This window comes from Homo sapiens, chromosome 2 (assembly GCF_000001405.40).
Source record: "Homo sapiens chromosome 2, GRCh38.p14 Primary Assembly".
In the NCBI taxonomy this organism is placed as follows: domain Eukaryota; kingdom Metazoa; phylum Chordata; class Mammalia; order Primates; family Hominidae; genus Homo; species Homo sapiens.
In genome coordinates, this window is record NC_000002.12 from 205,631,257 (window position 1) to 205,641,633 (window position 10,377).

Genomic DNA, 10,377 nt, shown 5'->3' on the forward strand with positions numbered 1-10,377 from the left:
GGTTCTCATGAGAAGCATGTAACCTAGATCTTTCTCATGCACAGTTTATAATAGGGTTTTCTCTCCTACCAGAGTCTAATGCCGGTGCTGATCTGACAGGAGGTGGAGCTCAGGCGGTAATGCTTGCTTGCCCTCCATCACCACCTGCTGTGCGGCCTGGTTCCTAACAGGCCACAGACCGGTTCTGTTCTGTGGCCCAGGGGTTGGGGACCTCTGACATAGAGGATTAAATGGAAACTTTCTTCTCCCCAAAGCCTGAGCATTAAAGCAGGCCTCAAAGTTCTTCTGTCCTACTGCCTTTCAAACACGCTTGGACATTGGCTCATACTAAGGCATGCAGTTCACATCTCGACCTATTACAAAGGTACATTTATGCATAAAAAAGTTTCACAAAATGGTACTAACTTAGATATAATTCTTTATTGTATGCATTTTTATTCTGGTCAAGATCCCGTTAAATGGTTTTGTGACCCGTATGAATTGCAATCTACAATTAGAAAAAATTTGACCTCATTCAGTTTCTTCATTTCAGAGATGAAGAAAGTAAGACCCAGAAAATGACATGAATTGCAAAAAGTCACCCAGTTAGCCAGCCTCATAGCTAAGACTACAGCCCTGGCCTTGGGACTCCAAATAAAAGGCTCTTTCCCCTATACTACATTATGAAAGGAAGAATCCATACCAGGTATTCCTGAAATTGAGGAAAGGCCATTTAAAAATAATGTGGCTCCAGTTATTGATTAAAGAGAAAAACTGGAAAAGACAGAAACATAACCAGAGGTCTGAAGAGCTAGTCATTTTTGTTAGGAAGTAAAAGTTCCACCTGGTAATTAGTTGAGGTTCACTAGAATCCTAAAGCCTGAAAAAGGTCCAACGATGCTGAATCCTACCTCAATAAATACACATGAAATTGAATTGTATCCACTCAATGAGCCTGAGTCTCATGTTGTTGGAAAAACAGCCTAGCCCCTTCTGGCCTACAGTCTTCTATAAAGAGAGGACAACTCCCTGAAGTTAAAGCCCGTAAGGCAGGGGTCCCTAACCCATGGGCCACAGACCACCCGTCTGTGGCCTGTTGAGAACCAGGCTGCACAGCTGGAGGTGAGTGGTGGGTGAGCGGGTGAAGTTTCATCTGTATTTACAGCTGCTCCCCATCATTCATATTACTGCCTGAGCTCCGCCTCCTGTCAGATCAGTGTCAGCATTTAGCTTCTCATAGGAGCCTGAACCCAATTGTGAACTGCACACACAAGGGATCTAGGTTGCACCCTCCTTATGAGAATCTAATGCCTGATGATCTGTCACTGTCTCCCATCACCCCAAGATGGGACCACCTAGTTGCTGGAAAACAAGCTGAGGGCTCCCATTGATTCTACATTATGATGAGTCATATAATTATATCGTTATATATTCCAATAACAGAAATAAAGTGCACAATAAATGTGATGTGCTTGAATCATCCCCAAACATCCACCCCTCTGGACTGTGGAAAAGTTGTCTTCCATGAAACCGGCCCCTGGTGCCAAAAATGTCAGGGACCCACTGCCTTAAGGAGTGCTGTAAAAGTTCTTGTCTTTTCAATCCCAGCCTTCTCCCTCTCTCTCTTTTTTTTTTCCTTGATGAGAGCCTCTCTTAGTTTCACCACCAGCTTCCAAGGTGTCTGTCTTCATTTTCCAAGGCTGCCATAACAAACTACCATAACCTAAGTAGCTTAAAACAACATAAATTGATTCTCTCACCGTACTGGAGTCCACAGGTCCAAAATCAAAGTCTCAGCGGCTTTGGTTCCTTCTGGAGGCTCCTAGGGAGAACCTGTCTCATGGATCTCTCCTAGCTTCTGGTGGTTGCCAGTAGTTCTTGATGTTCCTTGGCTTATACATGCATCACTCCAATCTCTCTCTCCATTGTCATATGGTGTTGTTCTATCTGCATGTCTCTCTGTCCGAATTTTTCTCTTCTTGTAAGAATATTAAGCATTGGATTGGGGCCTCTCCTAATCTAGTACAAGCTCATTTTAAATTGGTTACATTTCCAAAGCCCCTATCTCCAAATAAGATCACATGCACAGGCACCAAGCAGGTTAGAACCTGAGCTTCTCTTTTGTGTAGACACAATTCAACCCACAACACAGCTAATGTCCAGACGTCGCCCCTATCTCTGCACCTCTCAGCAGCCCCCACCCATCAAAATCGTGTGCAGCTTTGCCCAGCGTGCACCTAAGACTCACGTACACTGAATTCCTGATAACTGCGCAAACCCTGCTAGTGCCTTCCTGTATTCCTTTTCTTCCCTCTTCTTTTCTGAAAACATTACAATTTTGTTGGTGGACTGGGGAAAAGTAATCAAGGGATGGGAACAATGTGAGTCTGTTCTTCCAGATCCCTCATTATGTGAAAACAAAATACTTTTTTTTCCCAGACTCTCCTTCTGCACAGGAAAGGCCTGGCTCACTGTTCTAGCCAATGAGAAATGAGTAGAAATGGCGGGAGACTTCCAGGAACTGTCTGATACATGTAGCACACGTGCCTCCTTCTCCCTTACCTCTCCTTGCTCTTTCCTGCCTGGAACCCAGATGTGATCACTAGAAGCACAGCAGCCCTCTTGCAACCAGGAGATGATAAGCATGAAGATATGAGGCCCAAACCCCACATGTTAAAGATAATAAAGCAACTATCATATTCAAAAGAGCCAACAGTTATTGGGCATTTAATATGCACCAGGCATGATTCTCACACATTAAGAGTATTAACTCACTCCATCAATAGTATTAGCTGAGCATGTTATTATCCCCATTTCTAGAGGATGAAACCTGTATGACCCCAGGCAACGGGCTGCAGGGTTCATAGGTCCTGCTGGCAGCATTGAGCTGCTATATAGCTCCTTTTTATTTTAAAATAATAAACCAGCATTGCTTAAGATTTCCATTACTTGTAGCTGATTTCATTCTTGGCTGACACACTGATATTACCTCATAGGGTCATCAAAAGGATTAAATGAGGAAATATGTGTCTGTGGATGAAGGAAAACAATAACAATCAGTTAATAGTGGGTAAAACATAAGTTCTCAATAAATAATTGACTTTAATGTTTAACCTCTCTAAGAAGCAACATAATTACATCAATCATGTAGTAGGCAGAATAATGGCCTCCCAAAAATTTCCTCATCATAATCCTAGAAACCTGTACATATGTTACATAGCACAAAGGGCTTGGTAGATGTGATTAAGGTTAAGGGCCTTGAGATGGGGGATTACTTTGGATTGTCTGGTTGGACCCACTCTAATCGCATGAGTCCTTAAAGCAGAGAACCTTTGCTGACTGCAGTGAGAGAGATTCAATGGCAGAGGTTTGGGGAGATGGCAGCATGAGAAAGATTCAGTGTTCTGTTGCTGTTCTGAGCTCTAGGAGGCTACATGCTACGTGCTCTAGGCTGCTACGGAGGAGAAGCCCCTAGCAGCAGGCAACCAGCAAGGAAATGGAGATCTCAATCCTACAGCCCCATGGAATTGAATTCTGCCAACACCTGATTGAGCAAGAAAATGGATTCTTCCCTAGAGCCCACGAAGAGGAACACAGCCCGGCCAGCACCTTGAGTTCATGAGACCCAGGCTGGACTTCTGACCTACTTAACTGTGAGATAATCAATTTGTGTTGTTTAAGCCATTGTTTGTGGTCATTTGTTACAGCAGCAATAGAAAACTGATACAAGTAATAACGGGATTTCAGACGTAGTCCAGAGAGTTAGCCTAGGGGCTTTAAAGATGAAACTGAGTAGCTGCATATGAAGGTCACCAAGAGTCCCACCCTCTCGTGGAATCATAAAGATGTTCAGTGCCTCGTTTTCTCACCCTATGGTGTAAACTTATTCTGGTGTAGTATGCAGGGTTCACCTGGTAAGCGACTCAAGGGGCACCATTCACATAGCCTCAGGGGTGCCATTCATGCAGAATAGAATGTGAACAGTGCCCCCCAACAGTAGTGCAATGCAAAGCCTGCTAGTCAGAGGGGTCATGTGGGATCATAGCGAGAATATTGGCTGGAGCTTGGAGAGCCAGGGATAAGCAGGGCAAATGTCTGCATTGGTATTGTACAGCCAACCTCTCTGAAAAGCACCTGGCTTTCAGTCCAGTGATTTTGGTATTTGATAATGAGTGCAAAATGCCATTCTAATGTCAAAAACTCCATTTAAAAAAAGAACAAAAACGAAAGCTTCGTGGGTTTCCCTCTCTCAGCTGAACCTCGACAGTCAGATAAGCCAGGTCAATGCAGACTTTGTGTGGCCCAGTTACTCTCTCTATCAAGGCTAATGAGGAGCACATTCTTTTTCTGCAAGCCAGTCAGGTTTAAATCCAAAGGTTAAATTGAGGACAAAGTTGACTCTTAGGTGACAAGGGTCTGTATTTTGAATCAAAATTTGGTGAAAGAAATATTCTAGATCTTGAGAAACACCTGTCCGTTTTTAATATTCTTCCTGGGGAAGGTGTATTCTCCTAATTAGAGATTTAGCAATGCACTGAAGCCCACTACCTATAGAGATCCAGATTACAGGGCTGGTTTGTCAAACACGGTTACATCTGCTGACAAGAAACCAGTTATGTAAAGATGTGAGAAATGGAAATTCTGCACCGATTTTCCAGAACAAAATCTGCCTCTAAAAAGGTGTAACTTCATGCACAATATGCTTCATCGTTTGAATAACAAAATAAGATAGGCAAAAAAAAAAAAAAAAAAAAAAAGAAGACTTCTCAAAGAGAGCCTGCATTCAGGTTGCAGTGAGTACAAGCGATGTGATGAATATTTCTGATGGTATATTTAAAATGTTTTGTGAGAAAATAATGCATTTTAGAAATGGAGTGAGATAATGCCAGAGACTTTGCTTTAGAGGCGATCAAATAAGTTTCCAGGCAGGTTTTTCTTTTTCTTATAGATTCCTGGAGGTAATGGCAAAAGCCACGATTAAAATTCATTAGATGAAAAGTAAACTTATATTACAATTGATGACATTCTCCTCTAAATTGTTAGCCCTATTAGGGAGACACCTATTGTCTGCCAAACTCTTATCTATGCTGTCTGCTTCTCTCTAAACAGTTCTCTTGCATTTTAATCTAGGGAATGTTCCTTCCATGTTAAATTTCGTTCATGCCCCACAAGTCACACAGGGCATTCCATGAGCTATCCTGAGATGCTTCTCAACTTTTCAAAACAGGATGCTGAGGTTGCAAGGAAATTCTTCTGTTCCAAGCTTCAAGTTTAGAAAAATTACTTAAAGATGACAGGAAAAGGATTTCTATGTGCCCACTTACTGAGACAATTCGTTCAGCTGGAAAGAATCCCTGCGAGCTTTCCTTAGAGCCCATGGAAGAGCCAACTGCAAACCTTCTCTTTGGCTTCAAGGCAATTTAAGAACGGCAGAGACTGTGGTGAATTTCTGTCTCTGCAAAGGAAGCAGAAACAAGAGATTCACCACTGTGCTGTTCACATGCTGTTCTCTTACAGTCAGGCCTCTTCCTGTCATACCTAGCCTTAGATTAGATTGTGAGGAGAATAGAAAGTGGTCAGACTTCATCTCATCAAGGCAGTGGCCCCTTCTGCTACGGACGGAATGTCTGTGCCTCCACCAGTTTCTATGTTGAAGCTCTAACCCCCAGTGTGATGGTATTTGGAGGTGGAGCCTTTGGGAGGTGATGAAGTTTTGGTGAGATCATAAGCATGGGACCTGCATGATAGGATTAGTGTCTTCATGAAAAAAGAAAGACCAGAACACACACACATACTCACACTCTCTCTCTGCCCCTCTCCCTCCCCTCCCTCCTCCCCCCCACCCCCCTTTACCAAATGAGGACACAGTGAGATGGTGGGCATCTGTAAGCCAGGAAGAGGACCCTCACCAGGAACCTGACCTGCCAACACCCTGATCTTAGACTTCTCATCCTCCAGAACTAAGAGAAGGAACTGTCCATTGTGTGTCACCCAGTCTGTGGCATTTTGTGATAGCAGCCCACGCTGACTAAGACACCCCCTCATCCATAAAATGTGGCATGATCGTTTCTTCTTTAGGAATTACCCCATCTATGGTCATTTCTTTTGAATGCTCATGCTATGACAATCTGTAAAGTGATGGAGGGTGTTTCACAGCTTGGCAAACCAAAATTCTGTGGGTCAGAATTTTTCTCCAAAACCTAGAGCTGACTCACACACACACACACACACACACACACACACACTGCATCATTCAGCTTGGTAAGCCCTAAACTAACCTGTTCTCCTTATGGAAAAGCCAATTTCAGGCCATCCCAAGATGAGGTAGGTGATGCCAAGCTTGTCCTCTCTCCACCCAGAGCTGCAGGTCAGGAAACAGAACAGAAAGACTCCTCTCACCTTCACCTTCTGGCTTCTCCCCTCTCTGTAGTGGCTGAAAGAAAACTCTGTCACCTCAGCAGGCACCAGTAGGCAGAGCAAGACTGCCCTTCTCGTCTCGTCAGGCAAGGCTGAGTTGGAATCCTTGCACTACCACCAACTAGTTGTGTGACCTTGAGTGAATTATTGAAACTCTCTGAGACACAGTGTCCTCATTTACGAGGTGGTGGTACTAATTCCTGCCTCGCAGGCTGCTTAGGAAGATGAGTGAGATACCTGTGTAAACACACCCCGCACAGCACCCAGCCAGGTTCCTTCGCCCTGCCCCTTCCTCCCAGCCTCTCTCCACAATGAATTAGCAACTCCCAGAGGTAGGTGTGTCATCTCCTCTGGCATCACCAAAGTTCACTCTTCCCCAAGCTCCATCTGAGTGGGTCAGACTTAGAGGCTGTGTTTCAGGAGTTCACGGTGGCAGATCTAGAAAGCCTCAGGAGCCAGCCTCCCCTGAGGGAGAACCTAAGATTGCCTGGTGGGAGGACTAATGGTCTCCAATGTCCCAAGATTTAGCTCTGGGGAAAGTGATATGAACCCATAGTAAACTAAAGGGAACAAAAGTTGATCAAACGAACCAACAACAACAACAAAACCCCAGAAGCTTGTTTTTTTTCTATCTTCAGAGAACAGGAAGGTGAATATGGGTGAATCATTCCTGCAAATCAGAGCTTAAAGAGAGTACTTTGTTTTCTCCCCACTGAGGCTGTTGAGAAGTTTGGGCCCTTGGTGTCAGCTTCAACTAGAAATGAACTTGATTTATAATCTATTCATAACCCAGCTCTAAATCTGTTCCCCTCAGAACTTCTAGCAATAAAAAATAATAATAATTATAATAAGAAAAACCAGGGAGGGAAGGGCAAAGCAATTCAACTTATTTCATTATCTTGGATTTTATACTTCTTGTTTGCTAGCTTGATAAGGGATGCTACAATCTTTTATATCAATCTTTTGTGATATATTTTTTATTGCACTAGATGGTAGGGGAATTGCCCCAAAATTAATAAAGACCATATGCTGAATTTTGATTAGAGATCACTTTGGAATAATGATTGATCTGGCTTGGGAATGAGAATAGGCATCTTTTTTCCCTTTTTCTTTTTTAATCATATGCCTTTCAGAGTCCTTCTGGTCTCCTTTCCTTCCCCCACCCTTGCCTTTATGTGCAAAAGCAGGATAATGAAAAGGTCTTATAAATCTCTGGAGTATATATTTGTTACCAAAAATTGCATTGTAATCTGACCTATCAGCCCATCCAATGCTGTCTGGGAACAGTAATAACAGCATTTCATAACCGTGTCTGAATCTATCAGGGCAACTGATATATTATAGAATGAGATTGGTCCTCCAAGAATGTGATACATGGCATTGGCAGGGACCCATTCCTCGAACCTCTAGGGAAAGTGGGAAAATTATTCTGCATAAAGAACAAACTTCCCTAGTTAGCATAACCTATCTCCAAGCCACGGAAAATCTCCTGCTTGCTGGCCCAACCCTTCTAGGAGGTTGTTTTCAACATTTGACAATGTTTTTCTTCAACAACAAGAATAATTGAAGCCTAGTAACAGCCAAGGTAGCCCGTCTTTGCAAATGCTCCCCTTTATGACCTACTTCAGAGTTGCTCCAGGAGCACATAAAAATTACCTGGGAAACTGGTTAAAACTAATGATTCCTGGGCCGGTCTCCAAAGATGCACATTCACTAGGTCTGGAGTTGGGCCCAGGGATCTGCATTTTTAACATGTAGACTAGATGATTCTCATATACATGGTCTAAAGACCACCCGTAAAGAGACACTAATGAGAATGTTCAAAATATCTTAGTTGTGTTTAAATCATTGTCTTTGAAATACAATATCACTAGGTTCAGATCCCAGCTTTGCCATGTGCCAGCTGTATGATCCTGGGCAATTTATTTAGCCACCCTAAGGCTCACGTTTCCTAACCTAGAGAATGAAGATAATAATACCTATATCTTATGGTTGTTATGAATATTAAATGAAATATTGTATAAACAATGTTTAGCACCGGGCCTCTTAATTATAAGCATTCCACATATAGGTATATTCCCAAGGAAAAATGCCTCAAGGAAGAGAGCCATCAAAAAGTTGGGCACTGTCTTATTAAGCTGGTTCTCTATAACAAAAACAATGGACAGTGGAAAGAAACTAAGAGGAATATTGGCTTCAACAAGAGGTAGAGATTTGGGAAAAGTGAAAATTAACAAATGATGTGCTAATAATGAGAGAATATGAAAAGGTTGTAGAGTTGAAAAGTGGCAGAGTAAGCAGAGAGGTGTCCAAATTTCACAGCTATTCTCAGTTGTCCTCTGGATCGTTCTATCATGTTAGGTGGAATATAATTTAGTCATTACTTGGAGATGAAGTATGATTTAAGGAGATGTGTACGAATGCCAAGTGGACTGTGATAGCTTTCTGATGTGTCAGCTTGGCTAGGCTACAGCCCCCATTTGTTCAATCAAACACTAATGTAGGTGCTGCTGTGAAGGGATTTGGCCAATGTAATTAAACTCCCTAATCAGTTGACCTTAAGTTAGAGATTGTACTGGGGGGCCTGGATTAATCAGTTAGAAGGCTTTCAAGGCCTTCTAACTGATTAAGGAAGGCTGAGGCTTTCCTTGGAGAAAGAAGAGATTCTTGCTTGTGGACAGTAGCTTCAGCCTGTGCCTGTGGGGTTCTAGGCTGCCCATGAGCTTCCCTTATTGATGGCCTTCTCTACAGACTTTAAACTTGCTTAGCCAGCCCAATTCATGTATATACAATCTATCTATTTAGCTATGTTTCTGTCTCCTCCTGACTCTACTCAACAACTCTTTACCTGGTCCGTGTGATAGAAAGTAGATTCAGAGTAGAATTAAATTACATGACATATAAATAGGCTCCCTCTGTCTCAGCCCCGCTGCAGCCAATGTCATGCCCGTTATCTAACAGGAGAGATACTAAATGTGTCTCTGCAGAAGCATAGGGATGATGTTTAGAAGGATGTTCTATCTTCACCTTTAAAGTGGTTAATTTTTAAAAGTAGTCTTATAGAACAACAGCTGGGAATTCTGCGACAAGTACTAAAGAAATAACAATAGTGCCCTGGATTTTTAACACTGGATCTCAGTAATTCAAAGACACTTGCAGATTTTCTCCTAATATAACTCTGGACATATCTCTGTGGGTGAGCTAAGGGCAGGCATCGTTAGTCTCATCTTAGAGATAAAGAAACTAACGTTAAGAGGAAGCAAGAGCCATCCTCCGGGTGACTCAACAAGTCACCAGGGGAACTGAACAGAGCCTAGGAAGTTAATTCAAAACTCTCAAACCTTGTTTGTCACCTGGTGTGTGAAAGTAAAGTAAATGTAAAGTTTAAAAAACAATAAAAAAGTACTTAAGGAAGCAATGTTTAAAAAGAGAAGGTGCTCATGAACAATAGATTTTAAAAAGAAAAATGCAAGAGGATCTAATTACCATTGAAGAAATACAGCAGCTTAAAGAGAGTTTTTCAATGCACTGTGGAGTTAAAAAACAGTTACCATCTTACTACAATTATGCATCCATTTTTGTTTCTAAAATGCACGGGGAAAATATCTGGAACGGCATACATCAAAATCGTAAATTATAGGTGAATTTCATCTTGATTTTGCTTTTCTGTCTTTTCTCAATTTCTCTATTTTCTGTATTTTTTTAAGGTTTTTTTTTTTTTAATGTTCTGCTTTCTTGTGGTGCTTATTACTCTATTGAGATTCAAAGAAAGAATCATGGGACCTGAGAACCTCATACTTTAACTACTTCCCTGAGCCCAAGGGTCAGTTGGCAAGCTTGATAGATGCCAATTGCCGGACTCCCCCCTCTCCCACCTACCTCCAACCTCTTCCGATTGAAGAGGTCTGGGAAAAGCCACAGAATCTACATTTCTGACAAGTTCTCAAAGTGATTCTTTTTTTTTTTTTTTTTTTTTGAGAT